The 27940-nt window shown below is 46.2% G+C and overlaps 1 protein-coding gene and 1 long non-coding RNA gene across 8 annotated transcripts in view; one reads left to right on the forward strand and one right to left on the reverse strand.

Moving 5' to 3' along the window:
• The window catches only part of PDE10A (phosphodiesterase 10A), a 660764-nt gene that overhangs the window by 321121 nt on the left and 311703 nt on the right, over nucleotides 1–27940 (reverse strand). For 2 of the 7 annotated variants that reach the window (NM_001130690.3, NM_006661.4), the window contains exon 1: nucleotides 13538–13871. The exons of 3 other annotated variants lie outside the window; for them this stretch is intronic. In NM_001130690.3, the coding sequence (NP_001124162.1) occupies nucleotides 13538–13604 (67 nt within the window). In that variant the 5' untranslated portion in view covers nucleotides 13605–13871. Of the gene's footprint in view, nucleotides 1–674; nucleotides 6929–13537; nucleotides 14833–27940 lie in introns of those variants that run through there. 2 more of the 7 variants (NM_001385079.1, XM_047418099.1) reach the window with 2 other exon arrangements.
• Nucleotides 19127–27804, forward strand: LOC105378115 (uncharacterized). The gene is made up of 4 exons (XR_943236.3): nucleotides 19127–20358; nucleotides 20470–20714; nucleotides 26513–26638; nucleotides 27542–27804. It is a non-coding gene; the product is annotated as an uncharacterized LOC105378115 (long non-coding RNA).

Below are 27940 nucleotides of genomic sequence, written 5' to 3' on the forward strand. Positions count from 1 at the left end.
ATTAAAAAAAGAAAAAAAAAAGAGCAAGAGTGAATTACATCTCTTTCTATACACGTGCCCTCTCTGAAGCTGATCTCCACCTAATAATAATGGCATTTGGAAAACGTTTAGGTCACCCCCAAACCTACTACTGAATGCCTTATTCTATCAGCCATACGCAGTACTTTCCACCAGACTGCAACCCAGATACAAGAAGTCACAACAATTTTGAATCACAAACATTTTGCTGAAATACATTCAAAAATGGACCAACACAAAACAAAGAAAATTCAAAAATCATACAGGAAAAAAATGGACAGATTTCCTAACGATGGCCCTCACAAAAGGAACAGAACAGTTACACAATACAGAGTGCCAAAACTCTGCACGCACAGTCAGATCGCCTGAGAAATGAAATTAAACTAGGGCAGTAATATTATTCACAAAGAATAACCTTTCACACAAAGGCATTCCGGGTGGCTTGCAAAGCCCCTGAAGGATTTAAGTGCTCCACAGAGTGAAAGGACCGTGCAGCCACCTTCTCCTCACCCATCCCCATCCTTGTCCCCATCCCAGGAGCCACTCCCAGAAAAAGAGAGCAATCGCCACCAGGGTTTTCCCCAGAACAGTCTCCTGTGAGAAAGGGGTGCCCTGCAGAAAGAGAACTAGGTGAGTGCACACTGACAGGCCCGTACCTTTCAGAGACTTGGGTGTGCTCCACGGGTTACCTGAAGAGATCTCACGAGGAGCTTGCAGCTCCAAGGAGAAGCTTGCAAGGGGAGTGAAGATGGAGGTTTAAAGGTCAGGAAAGGGTTCTCATAAAATCCAGTAACTTGGAAGGAAGTAGCAGCTAAAATAAAACCAAGCAGCGGACTAGAAGGAAATAATATTAAGTGATAAGACAAAGAAAGCTGTCACCACTAGAAGCAGAGCACAGGAAAATAAGCAGGATGATATCCAAACCAAGGGGGAAGAGTCAGTGAGGGGACAGCAAAGAGGCCCACTGAGACACTCCCAGAGACAGCATGAGCTCTAAACCCCAAGGAAAACCAGGGCGGAGGGCAAACACGGGAATCTAAATAATTCAAGTGTCCCCATGAAGGCCCAGCCAGAGGGAAGGCTTTGTCCCTCTGGCCCTGGGCAGAAAGCTCTCCCAGGGCAGAGTTCTGGTCAGCCTAGACCCCTAGCCCCGGTATACAGCAGCTCCCACTCTGCCCTGCAAAGCTGCTGAGGAAGAGGTGCAGGGGTGCCCACTGCCCCTGCTGTCCAGTCAACTAATCAAATCCCTGTCACAACAGAATAACTTGTAATAAATTGCTGGGGCCCCCTTTAGTGGTGTCATTAAATGTCAATGTCACTTGAGGCTACATTTGCACTCACTGGAGAAGCGCTAGTATCTAAAGCTCATGTTTCTACAACAAGGCATCTGGTTTCTTTCTAAAAAGTAGTGATTTCTACCAGATGAAACTGGCTGGGCAGCTCTCCAGTGGTTTAAACGATAGTTCACATCTTAAGCATGAAACCATCAATTGCATCAGTCAGAAACTGTATTAAAATAGAAGTGATGCTTTCCACGTTCAAATCTGTGCATGACGTCAGAAAAGAGCTGATAAGATAACCACAAGGGGTAGTGATGCGTGCAATTTTTTTAATATTCATCGTTTGACATTTTGGGATCTTGTGTAGGAGAAGTGGGAGGCCAGAGGAAGACAGAAATCGATCAAATTTTAGGGGCTGACAAATGAAACCATGATCCCAGGAGGAAGACCATAAAAACATGACCCCCTAATGAACACGTGAACAGCAAAGTAAGGCAATTCACCGTTAATTCAATGCCACTTCGGTACCTTCTTGCTAATTCTGAAATTTAATTTTTGAATGGGAGATAAGTTATATTATTCAAAAATCAAAATGTATAAAACGGGGTAACACTGAAAAGTCTCCCCACAACTCTGGTTTTCCATCCCCCAGGACCCCTTCTCCCCTCCACCTCCCTTTACCGCCCAGCAAGTGTTACATAAACAGTTTCTTGTGTTTCTTCCCAGTTTCTTTACGCAATCACAAATACAAGTATATGCTTTTATTGTCCTTTCTAACATAAAAATGTATCTGAGTGTGTGTGTATGTTGTTTACACCTTGCTTTTTTCACATAACGGTGTATCTCGAAGATCTTCTGGACATTCGTTTACACTGCTGCAAATGTTATTTAACCAAGCGCCCACTCGTAGACAGGCCATTAGATGGTTTCCAATGTCCTATTTCAAACAATACTACGCCATATTCATATCTTGTTAAGTCACTTTGCCTATGTGTGAGTATGTCTGAGTAATAAATATCTAGAAGCAGAATTACTGACTCAATGGTTACATGCATTTTTTTTTTTTTGTCGCCAGGTTGGAGTGCAGTGGTGTGATCTCAGCTCACTGCAACCTCCACCCCCTGGGTTCAAGCGATTCTCCTGCCTCAGCCTCCCCAGTAGCTGGGACTACAGGTGTGTGCCACCGCACCCAGCTACTTTTTGTATTTTTAGTAGAAATGGGTTTTCACCATGTTGGCCAGGATGGTCTTGAGCTCTTGACCTCGTGATCCACCCACCTCGGCCTCCCAAAGTGCTGGGATTATAGGCGTGAGCCACCACGCCCAGCCAACATGCATTTTTAATATTGATGGATACTGCCAAATTGCCTTCCTCGGTAGCTACACCACTTGATACTCCCACCAGGAAAGTACAGAAGCACCTGCCTCCTCGTGGACTTGCCAACAGTGTGTTATGAAGTTTATGAATATTTGCAAATGTCACAGGTGCCATTTTCACAGGTGTTATTTTCAATTGCATGTCTCTTACCATGAATAAGGCTGAGCATCTTTTCATGTTTTCAAAGAGCCATTTACTTCCCTTCCGTTGTGATTTGTCTTGTTCATCTCCTTTGACTATTTTTTATCAGGCTGTTCTTTTTTTTAGTCATGTCCAAGAGCTCTTTGCTTAATCATTTCTAGGAACTCTTTATATATTAAGAAGGTTAGCACTATGCTGTGATAGGAGCTTTAAGTGTTTTCTCTAGGGCCACAATTCAAGAACTACAGGGAGTTGTTAACATGGTGTTGGAGCTTCTGGCATGCTATGGGACATGGAGAAAGATAGGTGGAGAGGTAGGAGAGGCACCAGGGCCTCAACAGGAACATGCTAAGACCTGGCTTACAGGATTTGGGGCAATACCAAGGTGTTTCATTGTGTTTTTTGAATGTGGATTAACTTATCAATCTTTTCTTTACTTCTGGTTTTTGAGTCCCATTTAAAGGGTCTCCTCACTCCAAGGCTAGAAAGGAATTTCCTCATTTTTTTTCTTTTTATGATTTCCTTTTTGCATTTAAATATACACATAAATATACCTATATATGTACATATGTAATCCATTTGGAATCTATCCTGGAGGTGCTCTGCATGGAATAATCTATTTTTATTTTTTTCTAGATGACTACCTAGTATCCTCAAATCATGTATTCAGTAGTCTATCTTTGCTTCTCCTAAATGAAATGACACTTATATCATCCTTTAGATTCTGCCACGTGTCTGGGTTTGTTAACACTTTTCTGTTCTGTTGCATTAATTTGTCTACCTATCCACATGCCAGTACCACTTGTCTTCATTACTGAGGTTTTATAAGTAGATCTTTAATCTGCCTTTAAAAATTAGATATATTTAACCCTGAGAAGCAGAGTATAGTCCTAAAAAGTTATGATGACTGATTAGACAACTTCTGGTCCTGGGACACCAAGAAAATTTGAAATGTATATAACCCTGAGACACCAATACAATATGTAATTAGCACATCCAAGAAGCCATAGTAACTAAGCTCTTTTTTGTTGTTGTTCATTTTGTCTTTTGAGGCAGGGTCTCCCTCTGTTGCCCAGGCTACAGTGCAATGGTGTGATCATGGCTCACTGCAGCCTCAACCTCCCGGGCTATTTTTTTTTTTTTTAGAAACAAGGTCTCACTATGTTGCCCAGGCTGATCTAGAACTCCCGGGCTCAAGCAGTGCTCCCACCTAAGCCTCCCAAAGTGCTAGGATTACCGGCAAGAGCCACCTCGCCCAGCCTTCAAGCCCTTTTGGATAACACTTTAGATGTTTATTTCAGAAGCTACTAAAACTATAATACAGAAACACAAATTACATCCTATACAATAACTACAACTTGAATTCTATATTACCATGCTGTTTTTTCCCATTCTGCACCAGCCTCCACCCATCCCTGGACTGCAACTCTGCAGTTACCTGTTAGTCTCTTTTTTTCCAACAGAGTAAACTGCTCTTTATGCAAAGCCGCTTCTTACACAGTACTTACCAACTTTTAAAGGGCCAAATACGCTTGTATTTTTGTAAATAATTCATCATATTCAAACACGTCAGCCCTTCATAAGCAACACTTTCACTTTGCTGTGTAGAAATGTTTTCATCAAAGTAAAAAGCTTTTTATCACTGCCCCAGGAAATGAAGCTGAGGCATCCAGAACGCTCTAAACACTTATCTCCCTCCTTCCCATCAACTCAGGGTGGCTGCTCCACGCCAAGCCATGCCCCACCAGCTCGGGCATATGGACACGCTGTGTTCACAGTAGCTCAGAAGCCCTGGGTCACTGGTGCCAACTAGTGTATTTGGATTACATGAAAATATTATAAATGAAACAAAAATGAAGTTTCAAGTCATGCCAGTGAAATTTTACAATCACATTATGTATTTCATTATTTCTTTCCCTTTAGGAAAATTAATATTTTAAAGGACGATTTCAGTCATATTCCCTCACTTAAGCACCTTCACTATTTATTCATTCATTCAACTTATTTTGCTTGGCAACATGCTCGGCACTGAGGTTAGGAAAATGAATGAAACATGCTTCCTACCCGCAAGGAACACTTTGGCTAATGGGAGACAAACACGAAAGCAGACAACTGTAAGCACCAGCAAGGATGGAAGCACGGATGAGCGGACCATGACGAAGCCTAGGAAGATGCAGGGAAAAAGGGTTCCAGGGCACTGGTGGCAACCAAGAGGAAAGACTCCCAGTCAGGAGGATACCATGACACAGGGCAGAAGCACCAGCCATGCGCTGAATCACACTGAGGAAGTGGAGAGAGACAGAGCAGAAAGGCCAGAGAGCTGCAGGGCCTGAGAGCTCCACAGGAGCGCAGAGGGACCTCCGTCTCCATCCCGGGGCACAGCTTTCCCCACCACACGTGTCTCTACCAGCGGCTCTCCAGAACGCCCCTCATCAGGTCTGGATCCCTCATGAGCCAGCAACTCCAGGAAAGCAAGGCACAGCTCTGATGCAGATAGAAACCAATGAGCAGGAAACATGCACTAAATATCTGCATGTCATGGTATCTCCCCACACCGTGCCCTCTGGCACCTCCCCACGCCTTCCCCCAATGCAAAGCTGGACTCAGTGCGTAAGGAAGACCTGATCCACCGTGCCAGCTTTCTCCGTCCCTTCTCCTCTGCACAAAGCCCCCCAGCCATGAGATCCTCCTACTCTACGAGCCCTGACTTCTGGCTGCGCATCTTGAGCCTGGCGCCTCTGTCCAGGCTCTCTCCTCTCTGGAACCTTGCCCTCACTCAGCTCCACATATCAAATACTCTTCCACCCTCAAGATACCACCCCAATTGGACTCTACTGGTCAACTTGCATCAAGATGAGTATCTGAATTGTGCATACCTTTGTGTTTAGTATATTTTTTAAATGCAGAGTGTATGAACATTTACTCTGCCAGCCCTTTCTCCGATCCCCCCTGTACACCGGTACTGCATGTCTTCCTAAACTATTAATTTAATTGCATCACTTTCCTTCTAAAACGTTCCCAGTCACTCCCGTCATCCTCCTCATTGTCCTGTTCCTAGCCTCCCAGTTCCAGTCTCAGCAAGGCTGGGCCATCACCTGGCAGCCGGCCTCCCGCTCTCCCCAACCCCACCCCTGCTTCCCCAGGCCCCGCTCTCCTCCTCGGCTCACTCTCAGGTGGCCACAGTGCTGTCCAATTGAGAGAAATGGCGGTCAGAAGCTGGGGAAAGCACTGTGAATTCCATCTCCACAGCAGCCCCCATACTGGTTCCTTCCAAGGTTCCCTCTCTGAGGAAAAGGTTTCCTTCCAGTGTCCAAAGCCATCTCACGTCCCCACATTCTACTCGCCCTGTCCTCTTTAAGGTTTGTTTCCACCCGACTTCCTATTTCATCAAGCTCCTTTTCTTCAGCAAATCAACATTCCCAAGTCAATTCTCCATGCAGAAAAAGGCAGCATCTACCTGCCCACAGCTGAGATTCAAAAGGCCCCGTCTGCCATCCTCACCACACTGGCATCAGGTATTATCCATGCCACTCCACCGCAATCTCCCGACCGAGGCCACGGACGACCTCCTGGCTGCTGGAACTCACCTGCTCTCTGGAGCATCTGGCTTCTTCCCTCTTGAGGCTCCGCTTCTGAACTCCAGGCCGTGCTACCTTCCATCTCAGGATCTTGCCGGGTCACACCTCTCCAGGGTGCTCCATGGCTCTGCCTTCTTCTGTCCTATCCTCCGACTTCTGCTCACTCCCACTATTCACTCCTGGTCTCCATTCACGACTGTGGCTTCAACGACTACCTTGGTGTTGCAGAGTCCAAATCTCTCTTTCTACTCCGGCTCATAGCACAGAATTCCAGCGGGCCGTCCGTTCGCGTGTCAAACTTCAGCCAGGCACTTACATTGCACCCAGCTATGGTTGATTAACCAACTCCGTCTGTATTTCCCTCAGAGTCAAAATGTCACTGAGGCATCTATATACTGTCCTTGGGGCATCCAATCCCATGATTTTAGATGCTGTGACTGCAGTTTCTATGCTGCAGTCTTGAACGATCCTTTGGATCAAATCCTCCCAGGCTTTGTTTATCCAACTGCCTTCCTAGCATATGCATCTCAGGCTGAACACCACCAAACGCCACGCCTGATTCCTTGCGCACCCCACGTGCTCCTCCTCCAGGCTTCCCATCCCAATCCCAGTGAACAGCCCCACCATTTACCCAATCTTTCCAGCCAAAAACCCAGGCATGGATTCTTGATTCCTCTCTCTCCCTTGACGTCCCCATATCCAACCCACCTGCAGGTCTTATACACGCCACCTCCAAACACCTCCTGAACCACCGCGGCATTTTGCTTCTACCATCATCGCCGTGATCCAAGTTACCATTGCTCTTGTCTTGACTATGACAGTAGCATCCATGGACTCCCTGTATCCACGACATCTCCCTTCATTCATTCACCAAACTGCAGCCAGAATGAGCTTCTGAGATCATAAACCATGGATCACCCACTGCTCAAAACCTCCCCAAAGCCTCTGCTTTCATGCGGAGTAAACTGCAGTTTTTTCCTCTGACTGACAAAGCCTTCATCCGGCCCATTTGCCACTTCACTTGCCACTGCCTGGTGGGCTCAGCTCCAGCACGGCCGTCACCCCGCTCCTCTGCCTTGTGAGCCCCCTCTGCCTAGGGTGCTTTTCCCCAGATAACTGCATGGCCGATGACACCTTGTCACTCAGAGGCCATTTCTACTGCCCCTGTGAAGAGAGACCTGCACAGAACAAGGCAAGGAGCCACACAGCTGCACAGGCCACTCTCCGTGTGCATTCGCTGTGCAGCTCTCTTGGTATTTTTTGTTTCCCTGGCTGGTTCTTGTCTGCACCACCAGAGTGTGGGCACCATACAAGCAGAGACGATCCCTACTACCAAGGAGGCTGCTTAACACATAGTAGGGGCTCAATTCTCATACTTCCCATTCTGATATCTCTTTTCTCTGGGCATGGAACTACTCCCATTCCAACCCCAACTCTCTCTCTCTCTCTCTCTCTCACACACACACACACACACACACACACACACACACACACCTTTCCAATCCAGAAACTAAGGAGTCAGATGTCTCCTGCCTTATCCAACCAGCCACCTGGATGTGTGACTATTAACTGCTACCTCCTGCTTGTATCTCTCCCGACCATTCATGTGCATGGCCCCATCTCTGGTCCAGCTCCTACCTCTTCTCGTGTGCCGAGGACTCTGCCACCAAGATCAGCCCTCTCCCTGCAGTCACACAGAATCCCAGCTCCAGCACAGAGGGGATTCTTTCTACCTGTCTTCCATAGCTGTTTCTATACACTCGTCTGAGGGGTCATTGTAAAGTATCCTTAGCTTAGCCTAAGTAATCCTCTCTCCTGTCTTATCACCCGGGTCCCCAACCTACCACCTGTCCAGGCTGTTTTCCACCCTGCAACCTCAGAAGATCCCTTTCCCTTGGCCTCAGAAGGTCCTTCCCAGGCTTCTCGCAAAGCGAAGGCACTGCCTCTTCACACCTTGTGAAACCTTTCCAGGACCTCCCAGTCAGAGGCCGTCTGGTTCTCACTGTCTGCAGAGCGCCCTACAGCCTGTCTGTGGGTGAGCGTGTCTGTGAACTCTTGTCCATCTCTTCTGTGATCTGTGTGCTCCTCGAAATAACTGATTTTGTCTCATACACCTTGGAATCCTGAGTCCACAGAACAGAGGCTCATACAAAGGAAGCTTTCAAAGAGTGCTCATCGATTTCTAGGTTTCTTGAAGACAGGCACCATGTTTTGTTCTGTTTAGATTTATTTTGGCTTTCATCTTTGAATTTCCAACACAAGTATTTGAGTACCTTCTCTATGTGTGTCAGCCACTGTTAACAGTCTCAGGGAAACAACCAAAAAAGACACTGCCCTCAGGCTCTCATGGAGCTTCCTTTCCAGAGAGGGAAAGCAGGCAATAAACTGATAAGCCAGTAAGTGAGCAAGATAATTTCAGCAAGTGGTGAGTGCTACAAAGAACACAAGAGTACTGGATACCTTCTGATTTCCTTGCAAGATTATGAGTTCCTCTGTCACTGTGGAGTTTTCCTTTAGACAGACTTAGAGAAATGATCAGCTGGAGGAGCCTAATTTACATTTTAAAAGGAAATTAAAATGTTTTGAATTACAACTAAGAGTTTTCCTTTTAAGGGAAAATATTCGTTTTACATGAAAATTATTTTTTCTCTCAGATTGCATCAGCTATTTCGAAACAAACAAAAATTAACAATGTATTCGTTGGTGAAATGTGCACCGCACTATGTTTAACCTGCCGTATAGTAAACAAAATCCTAATATTTGCTTGACTGACTGTTGCACTGAGTTTTTTCCCTATTGGAGTGGAAAAAGTTTTACATGCAGAAATGATCTAAGACTAATATACTGATTGGGATAGCAGATGACACCATCTTCTAATGTTTCTTCTGCTTCTCATTTGAATTTTCTCATGCAGGTTTCTCAAAATTAAAAGTGCAATTTCTTGAAAGTTAAGTATTAATAACTTAAAGAATCCCACCAGTTTAAACAGCTCTGCCCTTTGGCCTTAAGTCCTTTCTGATTTCCTTACCAAAAAATAGGTCACCCTTCCACGGAGGACTGTGACACTCACGTCCACACCCTGGCTCTGCCGGAAGAAGTCATGCCTTGCTTTGCTGGTCATTTTTGTAGGTGTCCATAGCTATATTTCAAGTCCTTTGGGGTACCTGTTATCATTATTTTAATCTCCCTCAAACAATTTACACTCAGTAGATACTCAACAAGTATCTGTGAGTTAGCTGTTGGCTGATTTAGACCCATTTCCACTGCTGAGTGTTGTTCTCGCATTCTTCTACAACCTCAGTCTCCCTGAGCCCACAAACAGAAGTTAATGGCGAGTCTAGTGTAGTTTGTACGTGTTAAACACATTTGCTCTTAAAAGAGATCATATTTATCTCAGTTTGTTCAAGTGTCGGCCACACAGTATCTTATGTCTCAAGAAACAGTAAGAGTGGTTACTGATGAGTGTGGAGCACATTTAAACTCCACAATTCCTGGGAGCATACACATCTCCTGTTTTGAATATTTGGCAATCAACTGTAGTCTGAAGCTATCCGCAGTCTGCATTCACCATTTTTTTTCCCATCTTATTTTGCTAACTTTCTCAGTATCCTCCTTGACCAGCCGGGGTTTTCCTTTGTCTGTATCTCTTTATGTCATCAGAGTAGCTAACCAGGGAAACACAAACAGAGAGAGGTGCGGGCGTATTTGTGGCTTCTGACTGTTCTCCTTATCCACAGGCGTGCCTCAGAGTTCCTGATCTCTGCACGCCCTGCAGCCGTGTTACATCAGGGCAGCCACACTGATCACCTGCGCAGACAACCTATGTTATCTTTTCTAGAAGACCAAATGCCACTCACACTGGTCTGTCCCACGTGACTTCTCCGCTCTCCATTGCACAAGCAAACACTGGGCTCTCTAGGCACAAGAGTTTTTCCTACTCCGATGGCAACTTTGCTCACAAGAAAGCATGAAGCTGGGTGCCTGAGGAGGAGGCCAGAGATCAGCAACTAGAGGCAGATGGCAGGAGATGAGGTGAAGTCAGGAATGGCCTGATAAGGGCAGAGTAAGGGCACTGGGCATGGTGGCCACTGACCCCTGGGCATTAACTTCAAACGTGCTTCTAGGGGACTCTGTCTCTATTACTGGATGGCAGAGTGGGAAGCTCCCACAGCAGCTTCGTAGCTTCTACTAGGCTTCTTTCTTTCTTTCTGTCTCTGGGGCCTGGGTCCTGGGTCCTGGCGGTAGCTCTTACTAAGTGTTGTTTGGTGCATGAGTGAGCGAACCAGCCGGTCAGTGTGAAGAGCCAAAACGCAGAGCTAAAATGGACAGAAGCGGAGCTGGCATATCATACCCTCTACACATGATTTGCTTTCGATGGTAATAAAAATAAAACCAGCATTCATACAAACAGTAACTGGACAAAACAGCCTTTACGTGACAACTTGCATATCAGACCAACAGAAGATCAAACTGAAAGAAAAAAAAAAGGAATGACACTCAACAATTAGACACATTTGTATGCATTTGGCCATTCTAAAATTTTTAAAGAATCTAGAAATTCTTTTTCAAAAGACTGATTTTTTAAACGATACATATCAGAAAAATCTGTCAAACTTCAGTACTTTAGCAATTCAGACCAGTGGCTTGTCAGGCAGCAACAGACAGAAACAAAGACCCAAAAAGTAAAGAGTGTCAGAGCAGAAATTGGCTACTCTCTTTTAATAATCTATCCCCTTCCCAAGCTTGAGTGAAGTGGGTCTGATAATTTTGTTTAAAAGTATCTTCTTGTTTACTACCTCAGTCATGTCCCAAATAAGACTGTTCTAACCTTTTGCTCCTGTTCAAGGCCAAAGCTACTGCTCAGGGCAAGGTGTGGGGCGAGGGGGCCTTTCTTGAAAGTTCCCTGATGAGTCTGGTTTCTCTGATGCACCAGCTTCTCCTAGCTGGGCCTTTCTGCAGAGTAGACCCTTCTCCTCTCCAGGTATTGTGTTCCTAAAGGGAGAGCCTGCTACGAATCCCGAGAGGACTCCACCCTCTATCCAGAGCTGCGATCTTTCTTCCCCTCCACAACATCCAGCAGGGCCCTGAACACACGAGCCAACAGCAGTTTCAGCAGCACCAACAGAAGCCCCATCATTTCAGGACCGCGGGCTTTTTCCAGAAGCCTACGATCCCGTGCCTCAGTAGCACCACCTTTCCCCCAGAGCAGCTTGTCACTGCAAGATAGAGCGTTCTTCAACCCCTTCCCCAAATCAAAGGTCAACTGAGAAAAGCAGATGTTTATTTTCTTAAGAAAGAATTCACAAGCCCACCAGATAGGGGACCAGGAGGAACCCCAGTCCTAGACCAGGCCTATAGGCTGATGCCAACACCCCGGGAGAGCTGGTGGGGCCCCATCCTCTACCACCTTCAATGCATGGCCAAAGGGCACTTCAGTAGGGAAAAGTGCTTCTACTGACCACATCTCTGGCCAACAGAGAAGGCCACATGCTCTGTCCATGCACACCCATCTCCACACCCCTTCCCCACCTAGACTGCAGCGGGGGTGGGAGGCAGACACCGGGGGGGAGGACTTAGGGGTCAGAGGACTTCGGGAGCATTGGGCCCGCGCCCCGCTAGCCAATCAAGCGCAAGCAGCGACTCGCTAGCCGGAGCCCGCACGGGTGTACGAGAGGCCGCTGACCACGCGGCCGCCGTGGACTCGCCCGTGCCCGGGAAGCGGGGTTGCAAGGAGCGGCCGATCCCGGCGCGAATACGCTCGCCAGCCCGGGGGCTGCACCCCAAAGGTGCCTGAGCGGGCGGTGAGCCCGGAGCAGCTTCGGCCGCAGGGAGGGGCTCAACCTCGGGTGCCCTGGAGACCCGGGTCGGCCAAAGCCTGGGAATGAGCCGCAGTTGGGAGCGGGAAACCGAAACAGCAATCCTGGAAGAGCGTCGGCCCAGAGAAGGCGCCGCGGAAACGCGGCTCCTGAGCGAGGCGCAGACAAAGGCTCGGGTGCACACGCGGTGGACGGTGGCTCCGGAGCCGCGCTCTGGGCCGCGGGAAGCCGCACCCGCCCCGACTGGCGCCGGAGTCGGGCGGGGGCCCATGGGCGCGACCTCCTGCACCCGGAGGTGCTCCTACCCGGCCCCGCCGCGGTCTTCCCGTCCTCACCCTGCTCCCCCTCCATCCGCGACCGCGACGCCCCCCTCCTCTGCGCACCGGGCGCCTCCTCTTTCCTCACTGTCTCCCGCCTGCCTGCTTCCTTCTAGCGAACCCCTGCCTTGACTTTTCTGCTCAATCTTGTCCCCCACCCCCGTGACATGCCTTTCTGCCACCTCTGCCTCAGCGCGCTCTCGGCCCCGCGCCCGCGGGTGGCGAGGAGGAGTGGCCACGCCACAGTGGGCCCGGGGGCGCATCCTGCGAGTCGGAGGCGGCGGCGCCTTTCTCTTCCACCCTAGCGACCTATTGTCCTTCCCTTTTCTCTACCACCCCGGACCCCAGAGAAGCCCGGGACCAACAGGACGCGGCCCGGGGTGGGGGTGCGTCCCCTGGGTGGAGGTGCAACCGTTTCCACCCCGCCAGTCCATGCTCTGGATGCCGGTCACTGCGCGGGGTGGGAGGCCGGGCGCCCACTCCGAGTCCTGGAGAACGGCGGTGCCATCACAGTTGGAAGCGCGGGGTTCTGAGGCCCTGGCCTCCCTCACCCCGGCTACAGGGACCCGGTGGGCTGGACCCCCAAGTGGAAGGAAGCGCATCTGCTCCAGCCAAGTGGCCACAGGCTCAAGAGGGAGGAACCTAAGTGGTCACAAAGTTGAGTATAAATACGCGCCGGACAAGTGTGGCCAGAAACGGCACGAGGGGCGGAGAAGGAGGCGGCAGGTCCCGCTCGCAACGTCCAAGCTCCCGCCGCCCTCCCGAGCCGCCCTTCCCCCGAGCGCTCGCGGAGCCTGGGAAACCCCGGCGTCCCTGCGCGGCCGAACGCTCCCGCGCTCCGCCAGGGGCACCGGCTCCTGCCCCTCCAGAGAAGCCCCCTGGGCGCTCCACGCCCGGGCACGGGCACCTCGCTCGACACCCGCTTCCCACCCAGCAGTCCAAGCCCCCCACCTGCCCCCAGGGGATGAGGAGCCGCCCCACCTCCGGGGAACGGGGAGCAGGCCACTTACTGGGGCTCAGGAAGCACTCGGTCAGCCTTCGGAAGCAGCTCGCATTATTAGAAGGTCCATCTTCCATGTCGGAGCCGAAGAGCAGCGCGGCCGCGGCGGCGAGGGCGAAGCTGGCGCCCTGGGGACGCCGCGGAGTTTGGCCGCCGCCGCCTGGGCCGGCGCCGGGGAAGCCGGGGGAGCCCGCGCGGCGGGCGGCCTGGCCAAGGGGGAGCCGGGGCGGCGGCGGCGGCCGGGGACCGGCACGGGCTGGAAGCAGCAAGCCCTGGAGCGCAGGCGAGAGGAAGAGCCGCCGCCGCCCGCCGCCGCTGCCACCGCCGCCGCGGTGACTACTGCTGGTGGGGACGCTCAAGGGAGCTGCCTCTTGTCCTCCTCCTCCTCCTCCGCCAGCATCGCCGCCTCCTCCCGCCGCCGCCGCCGCCGCTGCGCCCTCCCTTCCTGGGAGACGCACGGGGAGGTGAAAGGCAGATGAGGAGGGGAGAAAAGAGGGAGGGGGCGGGGGGGGCGGCGGCCAGAAGTAAAAGAAAGATGGAGAGGAGGAGGGGACCCGGGACGAGAAGGCGAGCGCCAAGGGAGCGCGGGCCGCGACCCAGCCGCAGCCGCCGCCGCGCGCAGAGAGGGCGCCGGGGCCCCCAGCGGGGCTGGGGCGGCCTGCGGAGGAGAGGGGCGGGCGCGGGGGCGCGGCGCGCTCCGCCCGGCCACGGCCAGGCCACTCGGGGGCCGGGCCCGGGCCCGCCGCGCTCCCCCCGCCGGCCGCGCTGAGCCGGGGTTCCGGGCGGAGTTTGCCGGGGCCGCAGCCCGGCTCGTCCCCGGCCGCTGGCAGGGGACCCTGGGGGCGGGGAGCAAGAGGCTCCTCGAGGCTGGCCATGGTTCCTCCCCGGGCCGCGGAGGGGCAGGCCGCGGGCGGGAGGGGCGCGGCGGGCCGGGGCTCGGTGGGCTCCGCCCCCGCAGGACCTGCCCACCCCTGCCGGCCGCCCGAACCGCTGCCTGGTCCTCCTCTCCGGTCTTCGGCTTCCCTCCCAGTCTAGTCTTCACATTGTGCTCGGCTTGGGTTGCGGGAGGACCCGGGCCTGGGGGCCAGGCCCCGGCGACGGCGCCTGGCTACCCTCAGGCGCGCACAATCGGCGTCCTCCCGGGCCGGGGCTAGGGACGGCGGAGACCCTCCCTGCAGGCGTGGCGTGGTGTGTGCGCGCTCCGGCGGCTGAGCCTCGGCGGCTTCTCGAAAGCAGCGGAGAAAAGCGCCGCAGTGCCGCTGCCCGTGGAGGCGGTGGTGGCGGCGGCGGCAGAAGACGCCCACTGGCGGAGCAGGCGCTCCCCACGCCGCCGCCGCCGCCGCCGCCTTCCGCGCCCACGTAGCGCGCCCCGCGGGACTCGGCCCCTGCGCCAGGCTCCCGCACCCGAGTGATCCTCTGTGCGCCGCCTGCACCCGGGGCCGGGGCGGGCGGACAGAGCAACCGCTGCGTCTCTGCCCTGCCTTGTCACATCTGGGTCCGGTGTTTCGGATTCTAAATCCTGAGTCCTGCAGCTGCTCCAGCTGTGCGCTGCTGGGCGAGCCACGTCGGCCTGCCCGTTGCCCGAGCCAGGGAATCCTCCTGGTAGCGGGCCAGCAGCTCCGACCCAGCTGTGCTCAGTCAGAGTTCCCGGGAGAGAGTTCCAACTCGGACCTTTGGTTGGAGTTTAAATCAACTCGCAGTGTTTCCCATAAACTAGGGTTTGAAATACGGTTCCTCCCCAGGACTCCCTTTCGCATACTCACTTTAAAACGAACTTCGTGTGCACAAGCCCAGTTTGCCTTGGTTGGGGTTAGAGAACGGAAAGGGCAAACTGTGGCCAAAAATGAGCAAGACTGTGCGATCATTGCCCCAAACCCTGAGACCGCCTTGCCATATGCGGCTCTCTTGGACACCCCCACCCCCTTCCGTAGCCATGAATCCAGGCAGTTGCCACTGAAGGGAAATGAGCCGCCCAATGGGCGCTCAGAACTAGGAGCCGCCAGAAGTTTGGGGAAGTTGGAGCGCAAGAGCGCACACAGATGCACAGGTGTCCGCGTTCGGGCAGGCACGCGCGGCGGGGCCACCATGGCGCGCTGGGTCCGAGGAGGGGCGGTGGCTGTGCTGTTCCACGGTGGCACGGGCTGTCCGGACTGCCTGGACGAGGTCACCTTCCCCGGAGTGGAGCACACGCGCCAAAGCTCAGCTTTCACGAAGGGCAAAACGGTCACCCAAGCGCCAGGCGTGCGCTACAGTGCAGCAACTGGGTTGACCCAGGGCCCTGGGCTCCCGGTGTGCCCCGGGTCCCGGGGCCATTTCTCGCCCTCCACGTTTTCTTCTTTCTATCCAGTTTCACATGTTTATTTTGAAGCGTGCTCCAGATTCCTCACTAGTCGATGCTTTCCCCGACTCCCATCCAAACTCCCCCCAATGGAAAATAACACTTTTGTATTTGCACCAAGCTGAGCAGTTGGGATGCAAAGGACATGCTGGGGCTCCCCTCCCCCAGTAAAGTCCACAGACGTCTCCGCGATTGCCGGGCAGATTCTGAGTGTCGCGTGTAACGGGCATCAGACTTGGCACTCACTAGGTCAGAATCCCTACATTTGTGGAAGAAGAAAATGATTCCTGTGACTCTTACCTTAGGGGCGCTGCCCTTGTTTCTGAATTTTTTCGGCAAAGAAAAAAACTGCAATGGTTGAGCCAGGCTGCCGGCAGCCTCCCGGCTTGACGCTTCTCCAGCCGTGCAGAGTCCACTCCGGTTACTTTGCTGCGAGTCCGGAGTTTGTGCTTTCGCGACTGGACCAGGCAGCAAGGGTCTGAGGGCTGCCCACACATTTAGGGAAGTCGAGTTTCTCCTCAAGTGTTTATTGTTTATTCCTTTACACGCAAAATTGTTTCTCCTTGTCATTTAAGTTTCTTTATTTGCATTTTGGAGTTACTAAATCTATTTTTCAGTTCCAAGAAAATATACATTTAACTTGCCCATAAGCCCCCTTGCGGGCGCAGGAGACAGGGTGGGAAACCCCAAATATTTGTCCTGGGAGCCCTTATTAAATCAGGAGGCAAACTTTAAAATTTTCATTAACCCTTTCCCAGAATCAACCTCCTGTTTACCTTTCGTCCTTTTCTCCAAGTGCTTGCTGGAAGGGACGTTTTCCTGGACAAATTAAAAATCACAAGGCATAACAACGGAAAAGAAAACAACTTGAGGATGGAGTTTACTGATTAGCTCTGAAATTTTCATACATGATCTCCCTCCTTCATACTGGTGTCCACGTTTGTTACTGTAAGTCTCAGAGGCATTCAGCCACTTTCTTTTCTTCATGAACTTTGCTTAGGTGAAGACTTTAATGACAAAGGCGCAGACATACAGGGTCTGTCACTCACCCGTGCTCAGGTGGCTGCTGCGCCTGGAGAACGCGCTGCTTGCGGATTCCTTTCCTTCCCTTTGAGTTTCTTTACTGATATATCAGAAGGAGGAGAGGGCTGTGACACTACACTTTTGTTACTCCAAACCTTTTGTGAATAAACGCACCGGCCCATAACGGAGGGAACACTGCATTCTGATAGTTCCCATAAAGACTGCAATATAGTTACATGACAAAAGGTTATTATACTATAGCTCAACTTAAGCATACTGTCATTATTAGGAGAAGAGGAAGAGCGATGGCAGAAATTCACAATGTTGCAGTGCTCTTGGTAAAATAAACAATTTTCCTTACTTTCAGCTGAGGAAATTCCAAGCCCACGTTGCAAAGAAAAAAAAAAAACTAAAAGAATATTAAGAGGGTAGTTAACACCAGGTGCCAAAATAATGATGACCATCATTTTAAAAGAATATAAAACACTTGTCTGTGCCTTTTACCAAGGAAAATAATCAAGAGTTTTGTATTGCTAATGAAACTTTAAATTAGTGGACCTATACAACCATAAGTATATTTAAATTCTCCAAACATTCTTCTATATGTTGTTATTTTTAAATCAAGTTAATTCTGTATTGCTTTTAGTATTTATGCCTCACATTTATTTATAGAGGAAACAATACCTGCCTGATTGTTAATTTGGATTTTATGTTCTTAAAAACATGCGTCTAGGTACAGCCTAAGAAATTTTGAAATGAGGATTTTCCTTTAAAAAGTATGAAATTTCTTCATGATAATTTAGCCATGCACCCATTTTAATAACCTAAGAGCTAGGTTTGTAACTAACATGGTTAATATTTTATGAACTTTTTGGTAAATATGCAAATCTGTGTCTTAACTGATTTTAGTTTACAACTGTGGATATTAGTGCTTACAGTTGTAAATTTCACATCATTGATTCTTGAAAACCCTGTTTCCTTTTTTAAATAATAACCTTTCTTTATGAATATATAAAAGCAAAGAAAACTAAATGTTAAACTCATCTACTTATACAGATGTCTACCAAAATGCACGTTCCCTTTACCGTGATTTTAATTTTTGTAACTTATTTAAAATGCATAGCAAAATAAATCATAAGCAAGTGTTTATTGTTCCCAAGCTCAATAAAATTATGTGCGTTTTACATATCAGACTTTTTCCATTTAATAGCTAGCAAATTAATGTAAATGTCATTCAGGTGTGATGTGTCATATCACACAAACTCTCTCCATTCTAATAGGATACTTTATTTACTACCTGGTGTCATTAAAATGGAGTTCAGCTTCCAGGCATTTATTCACATGCTCCCGGCCCCCCACCCCCGCAGTCCCTCACTACAAGTCTTTAGTTTGTATTTCCAGGAAACCTCCTTCAATTTTTCTCATCCCCAATTCATCATAGCTTTGTTGTCTAGACTCCTGGAACTTATGTATTTTATCTGCACATATCAACATGTTGGGGTAAGTCTCTTGTTAAGAAAGTTAATGCGCATGTAATTTGCATTGACAGCTCCATTTTAAACAGCTTGACATCAGGGAGACTGCCTCTCCAACTATTCATAGCCTTTAATGAAGGCCAGCACACAATAGGCACTCAATAATTGCTGGCCTTCCTGTCACCTGAATGCCAGCTGATTACAAATTTCCATTACTATTGATGTTAAGACATCTTGACCAAAGTAAGGGATAGCTTCTTACAGTGTTGTTATAGTCAAACCTAAAATAAAAGGCCATTATAATTCTGGTTTTAAAAATATTATGAAAGTCAATACTTCATAGGGGACAGCCTTGAAAACAGACCAAGATGATAAAAACAACTTTAGCTGCCACTAATATTCCTAGATCTTCAGTTTCAATTAAATTGTTTTTATTTATTTTTTATTTCCATTGGTTTTTGGGAAACAGGTAGGGGTTGCATGAGTAAGTTCTATGGTGGTGATTTGTGAGATTTTGGTGCACGCATTACCCAAGCAGTATACCCTGAACCCAATTTGTAGTCTCTTATCCTTCACTCCCTTAAATTATTTTTATTAATTCCAACCAATTAATTGTAAAACAAATTGCAGTTGTATTATCACGTTATGTTTTAAAGCAAGTAAAAACCAGTATAGGTTATATCATTATTTATTTAATAAACATCAGAATAGTTTTTAATTTTTAAATTAGAATTCGTTATAATTTTTAAATTGTAAATAAAATTAGTTTTTAATTAGAATATTTTTGATGAGATGCAAATGGTTAAAACAATATTTCAAATAGGTGTGAAGAATCCATTCTATCTGAGAAAGGGGTTATGTGTGTTTCTTTTTTTTTTTTTTAAGGCTTCTCTTCAATGACAGAAACGTGTGTTTCTTCATTAAAGTAAAACCCAAGCGGAGATTTTCACTAATAAAAAGAAAAACATTAATTATCTCCTGAAAATAAGCTCTGCATAATGGCCGTATGTAGCCATGAAGATACTGGTGTTAAAAAGTATTGCTGAGATTATATAATCAATACTAAGTTCTTAGGATAACCATGTGAATATTAACTCTATTATATAACACTGCTGTGTTATGACACAGAAGTATATTTCAAAGATGTTGCCATTAAAAAATACCAAGTCACTGTAGAAATCCATTGGCATTTGTAGAGTGCTGAAACAGTTTTCAGTTCTTAAAAACAGATGCAAGTTAGAACACAACAATGAGTTCTGTTTAAATAATCAACACTTTCACCAAACTTTTACAAGTCAAATATATCAATTGTGTTTGAGACTGTGTTTTAAGAATTAAATAAAAGCAGTGTGAGATAATTATATTTCAATAAGAATAATAAGCCTAAAAGACAGAAAATACTTCTTTAAGAGAACTAAAGTCTGGTTTAAAGCTTTTAAATAGAAAGAGGTCATAGAGGGACATTCTGGATAAAAAGGGTTGGCTGGGGGCTGAAATTATAAAAGATGGTATACCCTGATTTCTATGGACACCTTTTGTACAAATGGGTATACAAGTCTCGCAAGGGCTGCCAAAATTGCCACTGAGTTTATCTCACCATGATACTACCTCAGTGCCTACACGAATTACTATGTGATGTTTAAAATGTGTATTGTTCATGTTGCTTGAAATAAGTAGCTCTTCATCTGTTACTCTGGAATCTTTTTCTTGCAAACATTTTAAATTTTGATAACCCAATTTTTATAATAGGCCTTGGCATGTATACAAGGGGTTCGATGCAGTTACAGGAGAAAGAAATGTTGGCTCTTCCAGATTTATCTCAGAAGTAAGGATTAAAATGGCTCATTTAATCCAGGGACTTGGAGAACTGATTCCTTTCTCTTTACAGAGAAAGAAAGAAAATAAAAGAAAAAGAAAGGAAAGGAAGGAAGAAAGAAAAGAAAGAAAGAGAGAGAGAAAGAAAGAAAAGACAGAAAGAGAAAGGAAGGAAGGAAGGTAGGAAGGGAGGGAGGGAGGGAGGAAGGGGAAGGAAAGGAGGGAGGGAGGGAGGGAGGGTTCTTTCACATGGGTGAAGTGTTCTGACATCAGATCTTGACTTTTGCACAGGTTTTAATGAGGAGACAATGCTTTTTGTCCCTGAGCTTCTCTTGTTCAAGTGCAGAACAGAAAAAGGAGAGAGAAAGTTTGATGCAGGGATCAGGCCTCCTCAGCCGCTGATGCCTCATGATAGAAGCACCGTGGCTTCTCAAGGACTGTAGGTTACAGAAGGCTCCCGTCTAGACTGAGTCAGGCCTGGTGGCTGGCACACACACAGTCTACCCAGTGTCTGCAAGAGCAGCCAATTGGGAGACGTAAGTAGAACTTGGTATATTAAATCTTTTGAAATGAACCCTTATGAGGAAAATAACTCACAGAAGCCAAAAGATGAGCGACCTTGTTTTTTCAGCTGTGTTTGTTCTCTATAGGACTGATTAGTGAGCCAGAGACACCCGGTGCTAACTCTCAGACTGGGAGTTAAAGGAAGGGGCAGTTCAGACGAGCAGCATATCTTCCATAATCCCGTGGCCATATTCATTTTATTTGGCTCAGAAATTGGGGTTTAATTACTTTATGCTTACATGCTGCACTAATATTGCCATCATCAACAAAGGAAAGGTCAACAAAGGAGGATCTCCTCCCCCACTCCAGAGCTCCTTGGCACTGGCATGATTTTCCTGATGGTGAAAGATACATGTAAATAGTAATTGATAAGGGTTTTATTGTTTCCAAGTACAGTCAATGAGTACAGCCTGGGAGCTAACCCTTGCAAGTCTCCTGAATTCAAATCACTGTCTCCTCACTTGACTCCAGGTATCCAGTTAGATTATTATGACTTACTGGTGGCATGAAAGCTTACTTTTCTCCTCCCTCCAACACTCCTATCTGTATAGAGATTTCCACTGGAAATTTCCAGAGATCTCTACCCGGGAATATTGTGCTTGTCCTGCCCTAAACTTTCCTGATTTGAAACATCCATAATAAATCTCAATTTTACTTTCTACTTATTATAAGAAATTCATCTGCTGAGCCCAGAGAACCTCAGGCTGAAAGACACCACTAATGTAACAAGGCAAAATTCAAATTTAAAAAAGAATACACCAAGGCTAAGTGGCATTAAAGTATTTGTGGGTTTTGCTTTCCATGTCATACTGGTCATTTTGTAAAGGACCCAATTGGCCCCAGCCCAAGTATGTGCACTAGTGGTGAACTGGCCAGAAGGGACACCTGGAAGGTTGCATTTGCAAGAAGCTGCACCACCTGGCAGGGAGCAGAAGCAATAATCCAGCCACACACCAATGGTGGACGGCTCCTGGGGAATCAAAGAGAGAAAGCTTCCAGTGGGTAAATAATGTGCACATTCCATGTCGATTTTGTGTATCCCTTCCTTCCCAAAACGACTGACAGCAGATCTCTGGTCCTTGTGTGAGCATCTTGATGCAAGGATGCAGCTTGTTTTATTGCATGTAACTGACATAGCCCTAATCCACCTCTTAACACGAGTCACAAAGAAACGCATTTCAGCAAAATACAGGAAACAAAGGGTGGCTTTAAGACAATTATATCATAGTTACCATTGAGCTGCTGCTGCTTTTTTCCATCTGAAACATAAAGGCCTTCCCACAGGTACACTGAGAAATATAAAGGAACATCATTAACTTGGATTCAACCCATTTGATCCCAGAAGTTTAGGCAAGATTAACGTGTGCATTCTGAGCAATTCTCTTGCTTGATTAAAAACTTGGAATTGAACAACTAAAACCAAGCTAAAAATTACTGTAATTTTTATCTGATAATCTTATGTAATTGACAAACAAATCATGATATAATCACCTTAATTTAAATGTGAATACTTCCTATAAATGCCTTTTTCTTGTTTCTGGAGTTAACTAGAAGAAGTGGCATTGTGTCTGGGGAAACTGGTCTAGTTAGAAGGGGTAAACAGGGTTTAAGATTCCTGGGGTCTTAAAATATCCCAACCTGTTAGCATTATCCATACTTTCAGTGAAGAATGAAATGGATATAAATGTATTCAAGCAAATTTAGAACTTAAGTGGCAAAAGGACCCCTTAGATGGGTTACTACGGTAGAGTCTCACAGTGTGCAGGAAGTGCTGATCTTATTATCTTAAAGCTGCAAGTTGTCCCTATTGATCACATTTCATTGCCTTCTAATTTTTGGAGTCTAACAAATGGCACTTTATACGTCTACAGACTAGGGTTATCTGACCCATCTTTCCGATCAGATTGTACTGGTAAAGAGTCTGATTTCCTAGGTTTTCAACATATCAATGTTAGAATCACCCTTTTTGGGTAAAACGTTCACTAATTTTTTTTTTTTTAAGAATCAACAACAAATGATGCTTGCTACAAATTCCCAAAGTCTACTTGTTTTTGTAAATGTCATCTGGTGATAGGCTAGAGTGAAACCCTCTTCTGTTTTTTTAACTACCTTGATTAAGCTTTTCTAACCCTCTCCCTGAAACAGGTAAACTTGGTAATTTTATTATTTTGGGAATATAGTAAGCACAACGACCCATGAGTGATCACAGAGTGAGCATAACCCCTGAAGAGCCCGAATTCAGCCCAGGTGCCTCTGCCCATTTACTGCCCAGAACTGAACATGAGCCCATTCACAGGGCCACTTAGGATTGAGGTCCACCCAGGAAGAGGAAGCCAGCTGCTCATGCTGCCACCTTCCCGTTGGCTGCTGTGTATATCTCTCCATGACTGTGTTCAGCATGACTGCACTCAAAGGACCCAATTAATTCACTTCCATCACTACTCGTAGAAGCCCTTAGAGGCAGCTTTAATAGCTAGGATTTAGGCTCGTTTTATAGATTTCACACACATGGATTATAAAACGGATGAAAAGCAGCTAGATATCACACACACACACACACATATATATAGTGTGCTTTATATCATATATATGTGTGTGTTTACATATATACAGTGTGTGTGTGCTTTATTCTCTAAGGCAGGATGTTTATATTCAGTATTCACAGATTTCTGTATTTCTTAAAGGGAGATCATTTTATAGGGGCATCAGTTAAAATGGTCTCCCCATATAAAAGCAAGTTTACACATTAAATATCTCTATTTTATAGCGAAGTTATTAATATATGCCATGAAACTCTATCCCATCTGTTTTCAGTCAAACTATATTACTTCCGTAACCGTAAAATACTGGTGAAGTCTTATCTTACGTTTTTGAAATCTGATTTAAGCAAATCTCATATAAACAAGTTTTCAGAAGACAGATCAATATAGATACTCCCATGAACACTGAAAATTGTTCCTGTATTTACAACTTGATTTCATTGACAGTAAAGATTTCCACAGTTTATCAGAAACTCATTAATTACGTAAAGGTATGTGTTTCTCATGTATACCTTACTGGTCAATGGTATAAGGCAAGCTCTTTAAGCCTGCCAAAAACCTTTAAGAATACAGACGCTCCTCAATTTAGGACAAACACATCATAAGCTGAAAATATCCTAAGTCAAAATGCACTTAATACACCTAACTTAACAAACATCAGGGCTTAGCCTAGCCTGCCTTAAATGTGCTGAGAACATTACAGTTGGGCAAAACTACAAAGCCTATTTTATAATAAAGTGTTCAATATCTCATGTAACTTATTGAATACTGTCCTGAAAGTGAAAAACAGTGGTTGGATGGTGGTACGGTTTGGCTGTGTCCCCACCCAAATCTCATCTGGAATTATAGCTCCCATAATTCCCTCATGTTGTGGGAGCCACCCAGTGGGAGATAATTGAATCATGAAGGCAGTTTCCCCCATACTGTTCTCATGGTAGTGCTAAGGGGAAACCCCTTTGCTTGGCTCTCACACTTCACTTGTCTGCCGCTATGTGAGACGTTCCTTTCACCTTCTGCCATGATTGTGAGGCCTCCCCAGCCACATGGAACCATGAGTCCATTAAACCTCTTCTTTTGTAAATTGCCCAGTCTCAGGTATATCTTTATCAACATCGTGAAAACGGACTAACACAGATGGGTACTCGAAGAACGGTTTCTCCTGAATACCTATCATTTTCACACCATCATAAAGTCAAAAAATCTTTAAATTGAACCATCATAAGTTGGGAACCATTTGTAATTCCAGCAATTCACTGTGACTGAGTGCAGTTGCCAGTCCTTTTTGGTTGTAAATGAATACTCCCCTCCACACCTTTGCCATGAATTAAATAAGGTAACAGCAGAGCCCACACCACTCCTAGCAGTTCAACCTAACTAACCACTTAAGTCTCAGACCTGTCATATCTAGGTGAACTGACCCAGAAAGTAGTCACTAAATATGGTATAACTCTGAAGAAAATAAAATCAGTGAAAATTTCAACTTTTCAACAGATAAACTAGATGGAAGAAGGAGAAAGGGATGTGCACTTTAGAACTAGATATGGCACAGATTCCCATGAATGGTTAACCCCTAGTGCATGTATATAGAATTCTATTTACAAAAGCCAACATGGTATTTAGTATACAGGTTCTTCCAGGAGTCCATAGCCCCACTCTGACGTACACTATTCCAAAGTGAGAAAAGCATAGCCATGCAAGATTTTAATTGTTTTATTTTGTGTCACAGCAGATTTGGATTTATTGTAGCTTCTCTATTGGATTTGGAAAGGCGAGGGTTAAAACCTCGCCGGAGCTGCTGACCCCTGTACCTAGGCAAGATGATCTCCGCAGACCTTCTTGCAGCCCTATAATTCAGGCCTCTTCAGCCACTTCTGGTTTCAGAATATCAGTTTGTGTATTTATTTGTACTTTCCCTTATTTTACATGTTAGTTTTAGCGATACATTCTGTCTTCACACTTTCATGTTTTGTTTTGAAATTTTTATCATGTGTATTCAGCTCCTTTGTTTTTAGTCTTTCTTCTTTAATGGTGAAGGCATTTCTGCCAATACAGAGTTTTTCCCTGAGTTGAGCTTTTGGGGATTCCATAGGTTTTAAAATAAAATATTCCTTTCTTATATGTTTCTAAATGGTTTTAAATTTCAGTTTTAATATTCTCTTTGATCCACGGGTTATATAGAAGCGTGTTTATGAATTTCCAAATAATAAAGAATATTATCAGCCACATTATTAGTTTAGTTGAGTTTTGGATTACGATAAAATAATGTGACTTGAAAGATCTCTAATTTAAAATTTTTTAAAGTGTTTCCGTGTCCATAGATATGATCGATCATATTTTATAAATGTTTCCCAGGAAAGAAAAACCTGAGCTGGTCAGAAGCACACAGAAACAAAGACTGTAGCCTTTGTTCTAGAGACTCATTGCCCAGGTTCAAATCTTGCCTTTACCCCTTTCCCATTCCACAGTTCCCTTGGACAAAATATAGACTTTTGCCGAACTTCATTTTCCATCTTTAAAATGGAAGCATGGAAACAATAGCCGTGTCTCCCTCTTAGTGTTGCCGTGAGGATGACCAAGATTATGTGTATGGAAATGCCTCCAGTGGTCCCTGGCGTGCAGCAGGCACTCAGCAGGAAAAGAAAAAAAAAAAAAGGTGTGGTTCTGTCAGTCAGAATAGACCTGGCCTTAAATTCTAGATCCGCCACATCCCAGCTGCCCATGGAAGTTCCTTTCTATTCTGAGCTCCCTGCTGATGCGCAGTGGGGAGAAAGCGGAAGTGGCTGTGGGGATTCAGATTGACGTGCGTGCGTGGGAACCGTGAGACCACTGCCTGGCTTAGAGCAAATGCCCGCCAACGACTGGCTCCTGGTGTTTTTATGAGGACTATAAAATGAGAAAACGTAAAATGGCTCGCTAATGATCTTTTCGCCTAACTCACTATTCCTAAGGGACTGGCCAGGACAAAGGAAAGCCAATGGGCTTATCACAGAAGGAGAGAAGCTGCTAGCAGCTCAAAATGCCTGAATTTGGATTACTTTCCCAAACAAGGGCACGGAGGCAGAATGTGTACATAGTCAGTTGCCTCTGAAAGTTGTAACACTCACTTCCGGCATAAACTTCCAGTTAGGAAGTTTTCCTGCTTTATGGTTCATCCCTTCCCCAGTTCTTAAAGCTGGAAGTTTTTGTTGTTGTTGTTGTTTTCTGAGTGCCTCTTTCTCGTTCACTCTTAGACTCCACACTTCTCTCTGAGTCATTGCCTTGTCCATCCAGGTGCCCACAGCACACACCAACCCACTGCAAACAAGACCTTTTCTCCTGGGAGAAAGCCTCAACGTTTTCAAGCTTGAGTTTTCAGAGTAAGTCATCTTAGTGATGAGAAGGAGGTGAAGACATCGCAATAATTTAATACTAGAAAATCAATAGTTTTGTCTATGCCTATGCCTGTCCCAAAAGTCTGGCTACATTTACAATGTAACATTGTTATTCTGAAAATAGGTAAATCTTATCTACTTTTTCCCAGCCTGAGATTTAAGTATCTGCTTTGTTTGTTTGTTTTTGTTGAACATGTGCTAAGCAGAAAGACCAAACCATAAAATTTTACATTTCATCCTTGGAAAATGTAAATAACGTTGGACTGCATGCTGGAAGACTCAACAGTGTTTATACATGCATGAGTCTATATACAAGAGTTTATTTTTATTTGATAAAAATGAAGTATATTTTTCTCTAAGTATATTCTTGGTATTGAGAAAGAGAAAAAAGCTTTTAAAATATTAAATTCAAATTTTTCATAGAAGACTTGTGTTCTATATTTAAAGTAAGATCATTTAAAATAGACGTACAAATACTGTCATGGTATTTGTGTGTGGAGGCCTCCAGAGAAAATCTGAAAATGGAAAAGGACTCCTAGTCTTCCCAAATCACATCAGGCTAGAGAAACAAAACAGAATTGTTGTTGCTGAGGGATTTTGGGGTGACCTCAATGCCAAGCCTCATGCCATACTGGAAAATTATTCATTTATTTAACAAATATTTAGTGTCTACTACGCACCAGGATTCTGGGTGCTTGGGATATGTAAGTCAACCAAAAAAGACAAAAACTCCTGCTCCTATGAAACATATATTCTAGAATGGAAAATAAAAGGTAATAGGTTTCTCAAAGAACCAAAGTATAACTAATATTTGATCTAGTTACTGGGTATCTACCCAAAGAACATCATTATATCAGGAAGATACCTAAACTTGTATGTTTATTGCAGGACTATTCACAATAGCAAAGATATGGAATCACCCTAAGTGTCCGTCAGCTAATGATTGGATAAGGAAAGTGTCGTATACATGGAAGACTCCTTAGCCATAAAAAGAAGGAAATCATGTTTTTTGCAGCAACCGGGGTGAAACTGGAGGCCATTATCTTAACTGAAACAACTCAAAACCAAGAAGTCAAGCACTGCATATTCTCACTCAGAAGTGTGAGCTGAAAAATGTGTACACATGGATGTACAGAGTGGAATCACAGACTTTGGAGACACAGAAGGGTGGGAAAGTGGGAGGGAGGTGGGGGATAAGAAAATTGCCGATTGGGTACAATATACACGATTTGGGCAATGGCCACACTAAAGTCCAGACTTCACCACTATGCACCATTTCCATGTAAC

Source organism: Homo sapiens, chromosome 6, assembly GCF_000001405.40.
Source record: "Homo sapiens chromosome 6, GRCh38.p14 Primary Assembly".
Taxonomy (NCBI): Eukaryota; Metazoa; Chordata; class Mammalia; order Primates; family Hominidae; genus Homo; species Homo sapiens.